Consider the following 19506-nt stretch of genomic DNA (forward strand, 5'->3'; position numbering starts at 1 on the left):
TCGCCTTCCTGCTTAGTGCTTCTTCATCCTGTTAATTTAATTCCGGTCTCTACCTCCACGGGGCCAATTCCTCCTACTGTGGAACATCTCCTTTACCAAGAAGCCTTTCCTGCTCACTTTCACCCAAGACTGTTATGTGCTCCCATAGAACCTGATACCACATGTTCATAAGATGCGTCCTGCGTCTTTTTACCATTGGTCAAGGTCTATCTTCCCAGCTGGATTGGAAGCTCCATGAGGGAATATACCTGTCACGTTCACAATGGTAGGAGCTCGATATTTATTCATAAGAAAAAATAAACAGATAGACACAGGGACAGATGCTATCAGCAGCCACTTACAGAAGAAGCACCTTTAGCAACAAACATGTCAAATGGTGCTCAGTTTCACTAATATTAAAGAAATGTACAAAAAAAGAGATTATTTTCACTAAAGAGATGGGCCAAAAACCAAAAGCCAACATTGATAACATTAAGTGCAGGAAACAGTAGGGAGAGGAGAGCAGATTCATACTGTATTAAAACATTGGTACAATATTTGGAGGGTAACTTACCAGTATCCATTAAAATGTTACATGTGACCTAATAATTCTATTTCTGGGATTCTACTCTACAAAAATAATAGCGTGAGTATGTAAAGATAAATATGCAAGTGTTCTCATTACAGTATTTTTTGTAACAGTAAATAAAATTGAAACAATTTAGAATGCCCATCTTTGGGGAATTGGTTAAGTAAAATCTGGTACATCTATATGATGAAATATTACATCATAATATAAATTTTTATTGTATGATTCACTAGAGTAGAAGCTTTGTCTTGTTCACCACTAAAAAAACACCAGGCATATAGACAGTGATCACTAAATATTTGTTGTATACATTAATGAATATATGGTAATTGAAACATTTTAATGATATAGAATTAAGAGAAAAGATTTAGCCATTTTGAGTAACATCCAAATATTGTTTTCAAATGCATGTAGTTGAAAAACTTGCTCAAAATTGTATATGTGAATAGATAGATAAATAGATGGGCAAATAGGAGGTACATAGATAGAGGAATAACTTTGCTCCATAATTTTAACAATGCTTTTCTTTGGAAGGTGAATCTGATAGTGCTGGAGTTTGTAAGGAGTGGAGAGGCAATTCTTTCCTTCTCATTTTGAATAATTCATTTAACCCCTGATATTACAGATTAGTTTTCTTTCTTTTTGCTACTTTTCTGAATGTGTCAAATGAAAAACATTTTTATCATATAATAAATAATGATTGTTTGTCGGAACAATCCTAGTATGGAAAATTAGGAACTAAGACCCCTTCAAAGTCACACTCACTTATTTCTGTAATCCTCAAAGGAAGTTTTTGCCCCTACCCAACCTATTTTTTTAAAAAGCAGCCAAGTATATCAATGGGCATTCGTTGATGGAAAAGGGAAGGTTGCTTATACAAGTACTTTCTGGACTCAGCTCAGCTAAGCAAATACACGCATGAGCCTTTGAATGAGATGGAGTTGGAAGGAGGGAGATAGAAAGATGAAGAAATCATCCTCCAAAAGATTACCATTTTGTAAATGGATCATGAAAATTGTGATTTACCACAAATCACTACAAGCTAGCAGACCTTGATTTGAACTCTCTGTTCCAACGTAACTGTGTGACTATGCAAAAGTTATTTCAATTCTTTGAACTCAGCTCTCTTATCTGTAAAAGGAGAGTCATCTATTAGGGTAATTAGCATTAACTGCTCTGACAAACAAACCCCAAATTTCAATAGTTTAATACAATCAAAATTAATTTCTCACTCACACAAAATTCAGTATTTATGTTCCTGGTTGGGTGGTTCTACCAGATAGCTTTCTACCCAGTAGTGTGTCTTAAACTGGGTCCCACAGTGAGAAAAGGCAAAGGCTTATGTGGAAGTGCTTTGTTAGGAAGTATGGTATCAGAGAACAACAGTGAAAACAAGGAGAGTATAGCAGGTAGAGGAAAAGTGAGCACAAGGATGCCTTGTTGCATTGTCTGCCACTGAGGGCAGTGGGCTGTGTGGTCCTGCGGACTCAAAAAAAAATCATAAAATGGGCCATAAGACTATATGTCTTGTAGGATAAGGGTGAAGTGTTTATCCCATTGGCTCCCATCCCCTTGGATCAAAACTTTACCCCAACGAGGCTTTCCCACTTGTCCCCATGTCTGTCCTCCATATGTTCTCCAGCACCACTGAAGCCCTTGGTGTACATATAAGAGTTGCATGACTGAATTCTCATGGAGAGCCGGCAACCATAGCAGTGGCTGGAGCATTGTCCAAGTGAGACCTTGAGAATCTGAAGGGGTGCATTTGAGATGTCTCATGCATAGAGACCCAGGGAGGTGAGTACAAAGGGTATAGGCTTCTTCCATATTACAGCCTGACCATCTTCACCCATGGCCTCCATGCCTCGGAAGGGGAAGATGGAGAAAAAGAAAAAGCCAGGCCTGGAGGTAGCAAATGTCATTCCTACCCACATTCCACTGATCAGATCTTGTCACACACACCTCCATCTTCCCATCAAAAGGAATATCTTAAAAATATACCCTTCCTGAGAGCCCAAGAGAAAAAAAGAAATGATTTGGTGAAAAGATAACCTGTTTCTTCCACTGGCTACACTGGCAATCTCTCGTAGCTGTTGAGGGCTCTGAGATCACGTATGTTCCAGGAACTGGATGTTCCAGGCACATAGAGGGCAGTTGACAAATGATACCTCTAATTAACATTCTGCAAAATGAAAATTATATTTGGCTCTAAAAGGTATTCCTCTATGAGAAAGCTAGAAAAATGACCTCAGCTAGCAGAGATCTTATTCAAAAGTAGGAGGATTGGTGCTAATTTTGCCCATATAATGGACTTACGGTTACACTCCCTATTGTCTGAGCATCACGAAATGAAATTGCCAAGCATGACTTGGGCAGAGGGTTACACACAGGAAACCAGCCCCCTTGCTACCAAGTTAGGCCATTGCTGTGGACCTGTACAGGCAAGTATCACATTCTTATTGAATGTCTCTCCCGCCAAGTGGACAATTACTAACCAGATGAAACAACATTACCCAGGGGTTCAGGAAAGGAGTGCTCACCTTTATACTCTGCCTGGAATTCTCTTACCTTGTAGCTTCACAGGGATAAGGTGATCTTTGCCTATACCCTGGTTTAAAGTTGGGGAAATAGGATAAGTGTCTGGCATCCAAACTCTGCTTGGCCTCTGTGATTGTTAATTTTAGGTCTCAATTTGACTGCATTAAGGTATACCCAGATAGCTGGTAAAGCATTATTTCTGGGTGTGTCTGTGGGGGTGTTTCCAGAAGAGACGCATTTAAATCAGTGGACTGAGTAAGGAAGATCCACCCTCATCCTATGTGAGTGGGTACTATCTAATGAGCTGAGGGCCTGGACAGATTAAAAAAGCAGAGGAAAAGTGAATGCTCTCTCTCTTCTGGAGCCAGAATACCCTTCTACTCCTGTCCTTGGACATCAGAGCTTCAGATTCTCTGGCCTTTGGATTCTGGAGCTGGCATTAGCTCCCCTGGTTCTCCAGATGACCTATGGTGAGTCTTCTCAGCCTCCATAATCATGTGAGCCAATTCCCCTAATAAGTCCCCTGTCACATATCTATGTCTATCTCTAGCTGTATCTCTATAGCCACATCTATATCTCTATCTCTCTATCTATCTATCTATACATCTATCTATCTCTCATCTCTCTGTCTAACCTATCCATCTATTTATCTATCTATTCATCTATCTATCTATCTATCTATCTATCATCTATCTCTGTGTCTGCCTGTCTAACCTACCATCTAATTATCTATCTATTCATCTATATACACATCCATCCATCTATTTATCTGTTCATTTGTCTATCCATCTATCTATTCATCTATCTGTACATCTATCAATTCATCTATTATTTATTATCTAATATATAATTTATCTATCCATCTAATCTATCATCTATCTATCTATCTGTCTATCTATCTATCTACTTATCTATATATCCATCCATCCATCCATTCATCCATCCTATTGGTTCTGTCTCTCTGGAAAACCTTGATTAATACAGCAGCCATTTTAAAAATACTTACTGATCAGGTGCAATGTGCCAGGCTCTCTGCTAAGTGCTGGGGACACAGCAGAAATGAGTCAGAAGGTCATAGTTTTGGTCCAGTGAGAGAGAAAGACATTGAGTAATAACCACACAAATAAAGATCTAATTACAAGTTGGAGAAGTGTGATAAAGGAAAAATACAAAGTTCTATGACAGTTGCCGTATAGTGCCCATCCTCCCTTTCTCATTCACCACCAGAACTCTACTTTTTAGCTGATATAAAGCCTTCAAAAACAAAACAAAACAAAAAAAGATTAGATTCCCTCAGACTCTTTTGCAGATAGGTGTGGTCATCTGACTAAATCCTAGACAATAGGATATGAGTAAAAGTGGAGGGTTGTTCTACTTTCTTTTCTTCCTTCTAATTGGTTGGAAGTCAGATGTGATGGCAGGAGCTACAGCAACATTTCTGGACTTCCAGTCAGAAGCCATGTTGAAGAAGGAGCCTGGTCCTTCATGACCGTGCAGCTGCCTAACACCCTTTAACCCACACTTCTGCATGCGAGAGAAAGAAACACTGTTATTTGAAAATCTATTTGTTGAGAAAGCAGGGCCTGTTTTTAGTAAGACTGTCTAACATGAGAGTTGAAAAGGAACTAAGCACATGAAAAGTGAAGGGGAAGTGCTCCAGGCAGAAGGAATCTCAGGTGCAATAAACTGAAAGAAAGTCAGAGTAGCTTAAAGGCAAACAGCAAGAAGAAAGTGATGTGGAGTGAAGTAAGCAGGGGATGGCTTTGCAATTAAATAGGTGTTCATTCCTGGTCCTGTCATTTACCTCATAAGTCCTCAGTTTCCATATCTGTTAAGTGGGAATAACGAGCAGCCTTCTGCTCCCAGGTTTGCTGTAATGATCCAATGATAGGTTGAGAGGAGGAAACAGCATAACACATTGATGCAGAGCACTGGCATTCCAACCAAGTTCAACCAAGTGCAAATCCTGTCTCTCCACTGACAGTTGTGTGACTGTTAGTTACCTACAAACACCTCTGTGCCTGTTTCCCCATCTATAAAATGGAAGTAGTAATAGGATTTACTTCATAGGGATGCTGAGAGAATGAAATTAGTTAATATTTGCCAAGCACTGAGAATAGTACCTGCCACATACTAAGTTCTATATATATGCTTGTTAAATAAATCAAAAAGTGTTTATGACTTTGAAGATTTACATTAGCTATAGTTACCATAGACTTTCACTGTAGATTGAAACTCTTGTGGATTTTGACTTTTTCCAGTCACTTTTCACTACTTCCTAGCACCTAAGGAAGTGCTTCCTTTTAGAATAGTCTCATTAAAAGAGGCTTTTCAAGGAGGAAATTAAGAGAAGTACTTCAGGTGCAGTGACTTTTCTGGCCCCCATTTCCTCTCCACCTGCAGCAATGGGGATAATCTTAGTCCCTACTTTCCAAGACATTTGTAAGAATAAGGTGTTGTACATAAATAGGGATTGGCAAGCTTTTTCTGTAAAGGTCCAGACAGTAAATATTTTAGGCTTTGTGGGTCATATGATTTCTACTACGACAGCTTAACCCCGCCTTCATAGCCCACAAGCAGCCATAAATAATAGGTAGAGATGAACACAGTTCATTGAATGGATGAATGAACATAACTGTGTTCCAATGAAACTTTACTTATGGACATTGTGATTTGATTTTCATGTAATTTTTATGAGTCATAAAATATTCTTTTTCTGAATTTTTAAAAATTATTTAAAAATATGTCAAAACAATTCTGAGCATGCCGGCTGCACAAAAAGAAGCAGTGGATTAGACTTGGCCCATGAGCCATAGTTTGCCCACCCTTGTCTGTAAATATTTGGTACAATATCTGGCACATAGTAAGTGTTCATTAGCTATTGTTAACTTGTTTGTTATTACTATTAACAAGGGAGCACTGGACATTAGTTCTGCAACCTGTCATTCTATAAGCACCAGAAAATCAGTTCTTGCCTGGGCCTTTACTTTTTCCTTTTGTCTTTTAAGCAGCTGAACCTGACCTAGGTAGGGGCTGGGAGTTGGGGTGGAGATAGAAGAGGAGGGCTGTGTGAAGTCAATGCCTTGGTTCAACGGCTTCCTAAACATCCTGACTGCTTGGACCAAAAACTGCCAGCTTGAAAGGGGCTTTATAAATGGAGAGCCTGTAAAGCAATTCAGAATCTGATTTTGCTGCAAAAGCATGATTTTAACAGATCTGTAGCTTTTCCCAACCTTTTAACACTGTCTCCTGTGAGTCCAGAGATTTTGATCTTGTAACTAAATTGACTCTGTCGCAGGTTTGCCATCCCCCTGGGTAAATTCTCTGACATGCACAGCTTCAGACCAAACCCCCTTTCACAAAAAAAATAAATAAATAAATAAAAAACCTCTTCTGTACCCAGTCATCAGTCATCCCCTATTTCCCTTTCTCCAAATTGAAATATTTTTTAAAATACTATAATGAATGTCAGAATCAACTCCCTTTGGTCCTAAACCTAGTCTTCTTTTTTTTTTTTTTTTTTTTTTTTTTGGCAGGAGAAATTTCTGTTTAATCCTAATGCTAATACTTAGAAAAGTCGCAGCAGATTTAAAATGGTTATTTGCCTCATGTTAGAGATCTATTGTGTTTCGTGGTCAGTAATCAATAGGTGGCAATCAGGTCTTTCTTTCTTTTTCTTCTTTCTTTCTTCTTTCTTTTCTTTATTTCTTTCTTTCTCTCTTTCTCACCCTCTTTCTCTCTTTTTGTCTTTCTTTCTTTTTTTATTTTTCTTTCTTTCAAGACAGACTGTTGGAGAATCCAACAAGACATGATTTCCAAATAAAGAGCTCAAAGAGTCGCTTGGCCGGGGCTGAAAGTGGCAGCTCTGGAAATGCAGGCTTTTCTGGATGGAGCAATATTGTCCAAATTCTACAGAGGAGGGAAGAGGCTGCTCTGCTGTGTTCCAGTGCCAGCATCCCTCCGGGCATATGCCTGCCCACAAAAGCTGTGCTCACGCATGATGAACACAGCCCCGGGGGCTGGTTTTATGGAGCTGAAAATGCATCTCATCTTCTAGAGTTGAGAATAGAATATGACCAGGAATGAACATGCCTCTTGAGTAACTGAGAGAGAGGGAGGTAGGAAGAAGGAAAGAGGAAAAGAGAGGGCTGGGGAGAGGAGATACAGAGGGAAGAAATGCAGAGAGAACTGAGATGAAAAAATAGAAGAAACAAGGAGCAAGTGCCTGAGGGGCTAGAGAGAAAGCAAGAGAAGGTGGATGAGAAGGGAGGCAGGGGAACTGCAAGCCTTCAGTCCTTGTACCTTTTAGGATGTAGGGACACCCAGAGAACAGCCCTCAATAAGATCTGGAAAGAAGAGCTGTCACCACAGACTTAGAAAGTAGGTGTATTTTTTTACAAATCCAAAATTCCTATATCCCATAATCATAGGTGTGTGTTGAGCAGGGCAGATTTCCTTTCCTAATCTCTGTTTTCTCTTTCAGAATAATAGGTTATTCCCCTGTCCTGAGTTCTGCTTGAAAAACTGAGAGTTCTAGAACTTTGCAAAAGCTCCTCTATTGTTCCAAGATGAGCATTTTTCTGGGGTGAACTGGGCAGAGGTTTGACTGGCAAGCAGCTCTGGGTGTACATTTCATCCAAGAGTCTCATGGTGGTCGAAGGAGATCCCCAGATGCAAAATCAAAGTTGCTTGGATTTCCATTTCTTCCCCATCTAGGAAAAGGGCAATGGAATCAAAGCCTTTAAAAAATGTAGTAAGAGAAAGACTCTCTAATTGATCAGAACCTTCTGGCAACCAGCACTTTGGCCCATCTACTGAAAAATACTTTATCAGTGTCTTTAGTAAAGGCCCCCAAGATGCACAATACATTTTTGGTTGTTGAAATAGAGTGTCTTCTAAGTCATCAAGTAAAAGAGAAATTCTGCTCAGAAGACTTTTGGATAGTACCCAACATTTGGTGAGGCTTACTATATTACATGCATTACCTCGCTAAATCACCACATTAGAACACTTACAGGTAAGTCTTATGATTATAATCATTTTATAGTCATGGAAACTGGATGTAGAGGGTAGGATAACTTGCCCAGGGTTACAGCTAAGGATTGGACAAGTTGAGATTTGAACCCCAGCATGTTCATCTGGCATGAGAGGGCTCGTGCTTAATCTCCAAGCTATAACACTTTCTTGCACAAAGGTGTGTGTTTGCAGAGGAACAAATATGAAGATAAACAGAACAGAGATACCCTAAGGGAGCTCAGAGTGTTGTCTAGTATATATGAATAATGTGTGAGTAAATAAAAAGAGAGGAATGGAAGGTGGTGCTATGCAATGAGGTATCCAGCCTCAGAGTGCTACTTTGTATTAAGCCACTTCATCATCTCATTTTAGTACAGAAGACAGACAGAAAAGAAAGAAAGTCTCCTTCTCAGGGAGGGCTTTCTGGAAGTGAGGTAGGGAGTGGTATATGTAAGCGAGGTTCTAACAGGTGAGTAGGAGTTAATGGGAAAGAGGTTCAGATGGGAAGGAGGCTTCAGAAAGAGGAAACAGGATGTTCAGAGGCATGGAGTCACAAACACCATGCAGTTTCAGGGATTAAAAGCAATTATAAATGCCCGGAACATTCATTGCAAGATCAAGTGTGGTAATAGTTCGGGCAGAAGAAGTAGTCAGGAGTCAGAGTTTAAATGGCCTTGTGTATAATACCAAGAGTTTGGACTTACTAGGGCCTTCCTGAATCTGCCTTATTCAGAAGCATCATATACACATCTGTGAGGCAGGATAATAAGACTGGTAGAAAATGAAGTTATTGAGACCAAGAAAATAGCCTTTTATGCACAGCAGGAACAACCAGAAACACAACCTCGATGTGGTGAAAGCTTGAGTTTATGAAAAAGAGAAGGCTTATATCACTGTTTTCTTAAAGGATGGCATCCCAAATCAGCAGTATTCTTTTTTTCTTTTTATTTCTTCCTATAACTGAGCTTTCCCTAAACTGATGATTTGTGATTCACCTGCAGAACAGGAGCTTGGGATGGGGTAGATGGCATATCCTTTTGAGAGCTGAGGGTGGCAGGGGGTGATGTGGCCAGGCTTTGAGCAATCCTTTTATGTTTTAAGAACAACATTTCCACCCACAAGGATAGGATCTTGACAGCCACCCTACAGGCAAAACGTATTGGACCAAAGAGAGACAAGACACATGGCTTAAGTTAGTTTAAACAGATTCTCTTTACCAGAAATGTGAATAAAATAGGAACTCAGAGATAACCACATAGTCTCTGTGAACTGGAGATTTTGAAGGACATGGTAAAAGCTTAGAAACTCTGGAACAGTCATATTTTTTATATAGACTAAGAAGCAGAAAGAACTGCTGTATAAAGAGAAGAGTCATAGATGCTCAGAGAGAAGCAGAGATGAGTGGGAGCACTGCCTGGACTCCTAGCTGCTTTCCCAGTTTTTGAGAGCAATTTCTTTCTCAGACTCAAATATATTCCTCACCTCGGGTTCCATGAGACATTCATATTCTTAGTAAATCTATATTTTTTTGCTTGAGCTTTCTTAAGTTGGCTTCTGTTACTTGAAACCCAGATAGTTTTGACAGTACCTAAATCAGAGTCCCCACCTGCTAGTGGCCACCAGGAATCATAAAGACTAAGAAGATATGGAGGAGGAGAGGAGAAAAAGTCTCAAGTACTAATATTGCTGAAACAAGTCACCTGCCTTTTGTTTTCTTTTGAGACGGAGTCTCATTCTGTTATCCAGGCTGGAGTGCAGTGGTGTGAACACAGCTCACTGCAGCCTCGACCTCCTGGGCTCAAGAAATCTTCCCAGCTCAGCCTCCTAAATAGCTACAGGCATGCACCACCATGCCACACTACTTTTTAATTATTTTTCTTTTTTTTTTTTTTTTTTTTTGATAGAGACAGAGTCTCACTTTGTTGCCCAGGCTGGTCTCAAACTTCTGGGCTCAAGCAATCCTCCTGACTTGGCCTCCCACGGTGCTGGGATTACAGGCGTGAGCCACTGTGCCTGCACCTCTCTTTTCTAAATAGCATGAACACACCCCATTTCTAGGACCTTTTCTCCAATCTGGCTTGCCAGATACTCCTCAAATGCCTCATTGATCAATCTGGTGCTGAAGCCATGGCTAAAATGTAATGGCTGAAGCTATTGGTTTCATCACCATGGATAGCCCTCATTAGATTGTCTTCCTCCTCCAAGAAGTTTTCTTAGATCCCTCAGCCCTCACATATCCCTTCCTCCCTGCTCTTTGAGTGAACTTCACTTGCACATATATTACTACACTTACAACAGTTAGTCTAGAGCCATAATTGAATTTGTACAGCTGTCTCCGCCTGCAGATGGTGAGTCATTTGAGAAAAGGATCACATCTTACTTGTTTCTATTTCTCCCATAGTTATTATTACAAAACCTTAAAACTACAATCCTTTCAATGAATGCCATTAAAAAAAATTTTAGGGGAAATTTTCACCAATGTATGTGGCTCATGTTGAGATACGATTTTCTCAGCCCCCTTCTGACATCATTTGAAGGAAAATGGAGTGAATTCTATGAATGGGGCTTCAGTTTGGAGCCTGCAGTTTCCCCCACATTAGTTTATGTTTAGAGATGTGTCAGTTCATGGGAACAAGGGGAAACAGTTGCTTCGGCCAGGGTGCAGAAGCCAGGATCTCCCATGGGGGCTGGCAATCCTGATGTTATCTCTTTTCTCTGGACCAGCCTGCACCTTATTTCTTTTACATCACAATGAGGTGGAGATTCTAGAACTACCAGGTGAGATTGACTGAAAGGATTCACCTGCCTTTACTCCCAATCTGAATAGCCAAACCATATACAGCCACAACACACATTTCAGCATCTACCTAAAGATGAAATCTTCAAGCATCTGAGTGGCTCTGAGCCTCAGGGCCAGTATTAAGGCCTTTTAACCAAATTTCTCTCCCAAGCCACCATTGCAATGAAGGAAAATAGGGTTGTCCACAGTGAAATCCATTGCTCTCTTCAGAATACAAAGGAGGGGTCATTTGTGGAGAAATACAAAACCAAGGAGTAAGTCAACTGAATTGTTAATCAAATGGGCTCTGCTATGGTTTGAATGTGTCTCCGAAGTTTATGTGTTGGAAATTTGATCATCAGTGCAGAAGTGTTGGGAGGTGAGACCTTTAAGAGGTGATTAGGTTGTAAGGGCTCTGCTCTCTTGAATGGATTAATGCCATTATTGCAGGAGGGGGTTCCTTATAGAAGGATGAGTTCAGCCTCCTCCCACCTCTCTTGAGCCCATATGATGCCTTCTGCTAGGTTATGACAAAACAAGAAGGCCCTTACAAGATGCCAGCACCTTGATCTTGAACTTCTCAGACTCCAGAACTGTAAGCCAATAAATTTCTGTTCTTCATAAATTCCCCAGTCTCATGTATTCTGTTATAGCAACACAAAACAGACTGAGACAGGCTCTCCCCAAAATTTTAGATGTTTCTCACTTTCCTGTAGTACAGACATGTCACAACCTTACAGGAAATAATTCAGTGACATCTGGCTTATCAAATGGTCTTCCTAATTTATTAGTATTCTCTGTTCCTGAAAGAAGGGAAAAGATCATCTCAGAGTTTGTGTTAAAGTTTTAATTTTAAGCCCCACCCAGAATCTTTCCAGAGAATATTCCATAACGAAGCTTTCAACTTAGGCTCTTAGAAAATTGTAAAGGAAAACCTAAACCCACCTCTCTGAATCTTTGTGAAAAGTACAGATGCAGTCATTAAATCCTTTTCATCCTGATTAGGGCTTGCTCTGTGTATCTTAGTAGACCTTCCAGAAGCCAGAACTGGTGAAGGGTGACTTGGGGCATGAAGAATGAACAGACATTCTAATTAACAAATATTTGTTGATTTCCTACTCCGTGTTCAACCATTTTCTAGCTTCTGTGGGGGAAATAAAAGCAAGTGTAGGACAAGCAGCTAATTATTTTTGATACTCGTACACATTCCAAAATTTTCAGTTTGTGAAATGTTTTCACTCAATTAGTTCACTTAATACTAATAACTATTTGATGAGACAAGCAATATAAGAAATGCCTTCTTTTGATAGGTGAGAAAATTGAGGCTCAGAATGGTTAAGGTGCTTGACCAAGGTTCACATGATGCATAAAAATGGTGAGGGAGGAAAAATTAGAATCCTAGTTTGATTCTTCTTGGTGCACTTGTCTTTCTATCCCCTATGCCTCCGCTTAACCTACAGGAGAAGACATGCTGTAAAAAATAAGGCAAGGCTATGTCTGATGGATTTCTAGACTGCACAGTCCAGTAGATTACATGAGAGGATCAATAATGAAGACCAGTTGTGATGGCTCATTCCTGTGATACCAGCACTTCGGTTGGTCAAGACTGTAGGATCACTTGCGCCCAGCAGCTCAAGATAAGCCTGCACAGCACAGGGTGAACCCGATCCCTATGAAAAATAAAAATTAGCCAGCCATGGTTGTGTACCAGTGATCCCAGCTACTCGGGAGGCTTAGGTGGAAGGATCACTTGAGGGAGGTCAAGGCTGCAGTGAGCTATGATAGAAAACACCACTGCACTCCAGCTTTGGCAACACAGTGAGCAAGATCCTGTCTCAAAAAAGCAGAAAAATGAAAAATTAGGGGGAGCCAGAGGGTCATGGAAGGTTTGAGGAAGGACAAGTGTCTTGAGTTGGACCACAAAGAGTGAAGACAACATTTCCATGAAAGGAATGGAAGCAATGAGAAGAAGAAAGTTTCTCAAGGATGCTGTTAGTTTCCCAGAGTATGAGACTCAGAAAAACAAAAATGGAAAATGCTGAAGTCCATTAAGAAGAGGCTCTCAGAACACTTTTATTCTGGAACATAAACTAGTACTACCACTAAGGAAAACAGTATGGAGATTTCTTAAAGAACCAAAAATAGAATTACCATTTGATCCAGCACTCCTACTACTGGGTATCTACCCAAACGAAAGTAAGTCATTACATGAAAAAGACACATGCATGTGCATGTTTATAGCAATGCAATTCTCAATTGCCAAGATATGGAACCAACTTAAATGCCCATCAACCAACAAATGGATAAACAAAATGTCATCTATATAGTGATAAAAAGGAAAGAAATAATATCTTTCTCAGAAACTTGGATGAAGTTGGAGGCCATTATTCTAAGTGAAATAACTCAGAAAAGGAAAATCAAATATCATATGTTCTCTCTTATAATTGGGAGCTAATTTATAAGGATGCAAAGGTATAAGAATGTCATAATGTACTCTGGGGACTCAGAGGGGAAGGGAGTTGAGGGATAAAAGACTACATATTGGATACAGTGTACACTGCTCAGGAGATGGGTGCCCTAAAATCTCAGAAATCAGCACTGAAGAACTTAATTATGTAACCAAAAACCACCTGTAACCCCCAAAACTATTAAAATAAAAATTAATAAATTAAAGAAGAGAAGAGATCTTCAGGGCTGAGGATTGCTTGAGGCCAGGAGGTCGGGACCAGCATGAGAAACACAGCAAGAGCCTGTCTCTACCAAAAAAAAAAAAAAATTTTGGCCAGGCTTAGTGGCACATACCTGTAGTCTCAGCTACTTAGGAGGCTGAGTTTGGAGGATCAGTTGAGCCCAGGAGATTGAGGCTGCAGCTGTGATCATGTCACTGCACTCCAGCCTGGGTGACAGAGCGAGACCCTGTTTCAGAGAGAGAGAGAGAGAGAGAGAGAGAGAGAGAGATCCTCAGGAAGCAGGGCTGGGCAAGCTATCTCCAGCACTCCATCCTCCAAGGTGCAGAGGATGCACAATTGCCACTAGCCCTACCTTGAGTATAATGCAACTTTTGTAGTGTGGTCATGACTAGAGGATGGGAAGTGGTAGCAGAGAAATTAGTCAATCTTTGACACTGGAGAGAGAATTTAGGGAAGGTTCTATTTCTTCTCTCCTGAATTTCTGTGCTAGCTTCTTTCCTTCAGGTTAGCTCTCCCAGCAACAACATTAAGGTCAAGAGGCCAAGTAGAATTTTGTGGAGAGTCTGGGCCTCTCATTGGATACGTGGAGGACCAGTTTGCAGGGTCTCTGTTCTCTATCTTCTAGAGCTGATATCCACTGAACCAAAGGGGCAGTTGAGTTGACCTTGAGGTAGAAGGGCTTGAATCACCTATTCCTGAGTTGCCCAGCTAGAAGAATTTATTGCTGTCATCAGAATACATAAAAAAGAGTCAAGGTCAGAAAAGCAGGAGTCTGTTCTCTGCCTCCCCCACCTGACCCACTTCTCCACAATCCACCTGCTTCAGCTACCTCAGGCCTGATCCCAGCTGCCAGACTCCAACGGAGTCAGATCCTCAAATTGCCAGGAGATCGCTATCCAAACTGTCACCCCCTGATCAGAAAAGAAGGAGTTATGTAAGTAACTGACAGCACCTGAGCGATCTCTCATTTGGATTAAATCAAGTTCTTTAAATATTTATAAAGTTCTGGTATCTGAAATAGCCAGTCTTTGCCTTGCACGTGGGCTGTTGAAATATGGGCCTGGTGCATTCTAAACTGAATACTCATCTGAACAGTCATATATTTTGTTTGTGCATGAGACTGTGTGTGACAGTGTGTGTGAGTGTGTGTGTGGGTGTGTGTATGTTGAAAAACCTATTGCATTATGTTAAATATCCCAAGGGCTCGGTGTAGAACATGACTGGAATGAATACAGGACGAGAATAACTTTTTTCTATCTCATTAGATGGTCTGAGTTTTGAAATCTGCTCTAAAAGTGTGGTAAAGTGTGCAGTGTTGTAGATTAATGCACTGAATACATTTCTACAGTTCTTGATGTGTTTCATAAAAGGTCCATTTCAAAAGTGTGCTGTATTATAGGTGAACACTCGCAGTAAATAATCTTGTTACAGAAACCTAAGCAATTTTTACAAGGCGTATTTCTGGCTGACTGAACAATTTATTCTCCAGATGTCACATTGTATTTTTCCAATATAAAATGAAACAGCTTTTTTTTTTTCTTTTAAGGCCGACTGTGCTGCTTTGTCTGAATCTAGAACAAAGGATCGGCCCTTAAGGAGGCTGATGCGATGTTAAAGCCCATCACTCTAAAATTGACACCACACCTGGGAAGAGCAGGCAGCACCATCACTGGCTTTCCTGTTCAAGAATGACACCTGTCAATCAGGCAGGACATCCCCTTGGGTCGTCCAGTCCAAGAAAACTCACTGGCTTCTTGAAAAGCCAAAGAGAACAAGAGAAAAGGGATGAGGAGAGTGAACAGAGGGGAGGAGGGAACAATAGGAAAGGGAGGAGAGGTGAGAATAAAGAAAAGAGGGAGGAAAAGAGAAGGAGAAATTGGAAGCAAAGGTAGAATAATGAGAGGATGTGGAAGAGCAGGTAGAGGCAGAAGAACAGGTGGGAGAAAAGGAAAGAAGACAAATGAGGAGAAGAAGAAGACAAGCAGTGTAAAAGATGGTTAGAAGAGATGGGAAATACAAGAGAAATATGCAAAATTCTGCCGCCACCAGAGGCAACATTTGCCAACTTTTTTGCAGAGTGTTAAGCCCATGAAACGCTCTATGATCAAACAATTTTGGAAAACAGTGAATTTATGTATACCCTCTTTTCTTGGAGTTTCACAATGCATGTTAGCAGATTAAAGGCTCTGAGAAGTCTTGCTGGAAAGAAACCTGTTTTACTTCATCGAATCCAGTGTTTCCAAGCTTATTTGAGCCTTAAACCTCTTTTTTTTTCTTGCAAAGCATCTGTGATCCTTCCATGATTTGGATACATTCTCTTACAGGTTTCTGACACATCCATCACTTGTTATGTTTAGAAAGGGTGGACCATCCATGGCCTTCATATCAACGTATGAAAACCAACATACCCTCCAGCAAGCTCTACGGCTATATGACCCTTATCCACAGCAAGTCCCTGGGGAAAATTATTCCTTAACATGGTGTTGAATGCTGACAAGGTATATCAGTCAGCTTTGGCTAGGTAAGGCTACAGTAACAAACATTCCCCAACTTTTCAGTGCCTTATGGAGGTCCATTTCTCACTCACTTTATTTGTTGCTGCAGCAAAGTGAAGGCTCTGTACCTCTGCTCCACATGTTTTCTGCAACCTGAGATGCAGGTCTCATGGTTCAGGGAGAAGAGCACTGTGAATGAACCATACAAAGTCTTTTAAAACTTCTGCACACAGATATTGTGTGTCACATTCCATTGGCCAAAGCAAGTCACATGACCAAGTTTGAGGTCAAGAGGGCAGGAAAGTACACTTCTTCAGGGAGTACTGCAAGTCACATGGCAGTGGGTGGGGAAAGTATAAACCTCCTACAGGGAGGAGAGTGAATAAAGGAGAACAATAACACAGAAACTACATGGAGGTTAGGGGAGAAAGCTATGGTCTATTGGTATGTCTGTTAGGGGCTCCTTTTTTTTCTGTCACCCAGGTTGGAGTGCAGTGGTGCAATCTCGACTCACTGCAACCTCTGCCTCCTGGGTTCAAGCGATTCTCCTGCATCAGCCTCCCAAGTAGCTAGGACTACAGGCGTGTGCCACCATGCTTGGCTAATTTTTGTATTTTTAGTAGAGATGGGGTTTCACCATATAGGCCAGGCTGGTTTCGAACTCCTGACCTCATGATCCACACCTCGGCCTCCCTAAGTACTGGGATTACAGGTGTGAGCCACAGCATCAAGCCCAGGGGCTTCTTATTTTAGGTTCAGCCACCTCATGGTCCCAGAAGGTGAAAAAAATTAGACAAGGTCCAGAAATGGAGCTGGTGCTGTGGTAGATGTGTTAGCAAATTAATGAATGCAGGTGAGTCCCACTGCAAGAAAATTCAATACATGAAAAGTGAGTTTATATTATGACTTAAGTGTTCTGAGAAGACAAAGAGACCTTTGCTTAGCAAAAGATTTCCCAGCAAGGGTCCATTGAACAGAGTTGTATTTAATTCGATGCATTAAATTGGGCCATATAAAATAGCCATTATTGAGGATAAAAAAATTGCCTATCAGCAATTTCATGTGGCTCAACCTAACACAAAAATGTAATTTATAGGTGTCTCATCAGAAATCATCATCAAGGTTGGCCAAAAGGTTTCATGTTGGGTGCCAACCTTGACTGACTGGGGCTGTTGAGAGATTTCTGAAGTGGCTTCTTGTCTCAGCAGGAAAGACCTCTAAGTCGATATGTGCCATCTACTCTGAAATCAAGGCATATGTGTCATGCATTTGCCATCCCTGATCTCCTGCAGTGGGGTATGGGGTACAGTCCCCTTTTCAAGCCATTAGCATTTCAGTAACAGTCCCTGAAAGTAGGACAGATGACATCCACATGCCAAACTCAAAGGATTTCTGCTGGAGTACGAATAGAATCTTATTGTAGGATGCATCATGGACCACTCAAAATTTCCCCTCTTAGGAAAGAACTTTATTTCTGGGAATTAAAGAAAACACTAAAAACAATAATCTATAGGGCAGGCAAGCCATGAGAGAGAAAGAGTTACCCAGGTGAAAACCATCTCTTTGGAGTTTTCCACTTGAGCTGTCTTCCACAGCAAACAGGTTTGCTTCTGCAAACACAGCAGGGTCTTTGCACTGGATGTCCCTCCACATGGAATATTCTTCCTCTCAATAGCCACATCTCTCACTCCCTTACTTTTTTCAAGTGTGTGCTCAAATGTTGCCTGTGCAGAGAGGCCTCCCCTGACCACTTCACATGAAATAGTTACCCCTGTCACTCTTGGTTTCCCTTAGTCTGCTGTATCTTCCTTCAGAGTCCTTATGCCCATGACATGACAAATGATGTGGACTTATAACAGACACACAGTAAAATACTCTTGAGGTAGTGAATGAGTGAGTGAATGAATGAAATCTGATCAGTAACATAGTGGTCCAACAGAATAGGAACATTTTGGAGAAGCAGCCTTTCCTATACAGATTTATTGTTGAAAAATTGAATTCTGAGTAGTGATTTCAAAACTATTTTTGAATCTGTGAAATTAGACTAGTCAAAAAGGAATAACCTAAAATTAGAAATAATTTCAAAGGCATGAACAATAGGATGAATAATGAAGAAAACTATCCAATGAGTGAAGTAGAAGACAAACTTGACAAAAGCAGCCTCATCTCCAAAGAGAACAAAGAGTTTGAAAATGAAAACAAGAGAGAAGAATGATGAGCGGGCACCCTAAGGAGGTGCGGTTTAAAAGTAAAGGGAAGATCAAAAAGGAAAGAACAGAGGAAGCAGAAACAAAAAAATCAAAGAAAATAATAATAGAAAACTTGTTTGAGCTAAAGGAAAGTCTGAATCTGCAAACTGAAAAGGTTTTCTGAACACCAGGCATATTAGTAAAAATGAGTCTTTTAAAAATCTGACTTAATTTTAGGACTTACTGTGTGCCAGTCACTGCGTTCAGTGGTCACAATACATCATCTCATTTAATCCCCACAACCATAGGCAAGGTTGTACTATTATACCCATTTTGCAGATGAGGAAATGGAGGCCTAAAGAGGTCACGTGAACAGCCTGAGGTCACGTCGACAGCCATCAGCCAGGTTTCAAGCCTCCCTGGCTCCCAGGCCTTGCTCTGACCATCCCGCCAGTCTGCTTTTTGATTAATGTGAAAGATTCAGTACAGACTTCCAGGAAGCACACTGCAGGCCCAGGTGCTAAATGGGTGCCTATAATGCTGGCAATGAGGAATATACGCTGCCTTCCCTCAGAGAGCTGTGTGGGCTTTGAGTTGATTTTCCAGGGGTGGGGATTTTTTCACTGAGCCATTCTCTCTCTCTCTCTCTCTTATCTTCTACCCTCATTGCCAGCATCTATGAGCAAGGTCAAGAGGGCAGTATTTGTTTCTAGAGCAAATCACAGTGTGGTGGTTAAGCTTGCCTTCCAAAGCCAGGCTGACTGGGTTTAAATCCTGGTTCTGTCACCAACTAGCTGTGTGACTTTTTAAAAGCTAATGAACTTCTCTGTGCTTCAATTTTCTTATCAGAAAAAAATAGTAATATCTAACTCATAGAGTTCATGTAAGGATTAAATAAGTTGAGACACGAAGTCCTTGGATCAGTGCCTGGCATATAGGAAGCAACCATACACGTAAGATTTCAATAGCTTTCTGGCTCTGATCAAGCTCTGGCCTCAGTGTCTTGCACCCACCTCCCAAGCCCCTGCCACAAGACACTGCTGGCAAGTGGATTCTGCTCCACGGAAGAGATTCTGCACCTTGTTTAACTGGTTTCTAGCCAACGCTATGTGACATCCCTCCAAAGTGGGCCACAGCAAGTCCTGTGCAGCCTGGCTCTCTCTCCTTGGGCCTTCTGAATGGCCTCTCCCCCTTCACACCAGTTAGTCAATGCCATTAATCAAAATCCTAT

At 40.9% G+C, this 19506-nt stretch overlaps 1 annotated feature.

The window, feature by feature from the left end:
- Window positions 14054-15253: an enhancer, noted in NCBI's record as "CDK7 strongly-dependent group 2 enhancer chr16:52662737-52663936 (GRCh37/hg19 assembly coordinates)". NCBI's record gives its function as "activates an origin of replication core promoter dependent on BRD2, BRD4, P300/CBP, MED14 and CDK7 cofactors, with strong dependence on CDK7, by STARR-seq in HCT116 cells {active_cell/tissue: HCT116}" and the evidence as "EXISTENCE:reporter gene assay evidence [ECO:0000049][PMID:35650434]".

Source organism: Homo sapiens, chromosome 16, assembly GCF_000001405.40.
Source record: "Homo sapiens chromosome 16, GRCh38.p14 Primary Assembly".
Classification (NCBI taxonomy): Eukaryota; Metazoa; Chordata; class Mammalia; order Primates; family Hominidae; genus Homo; species Homo sapiens.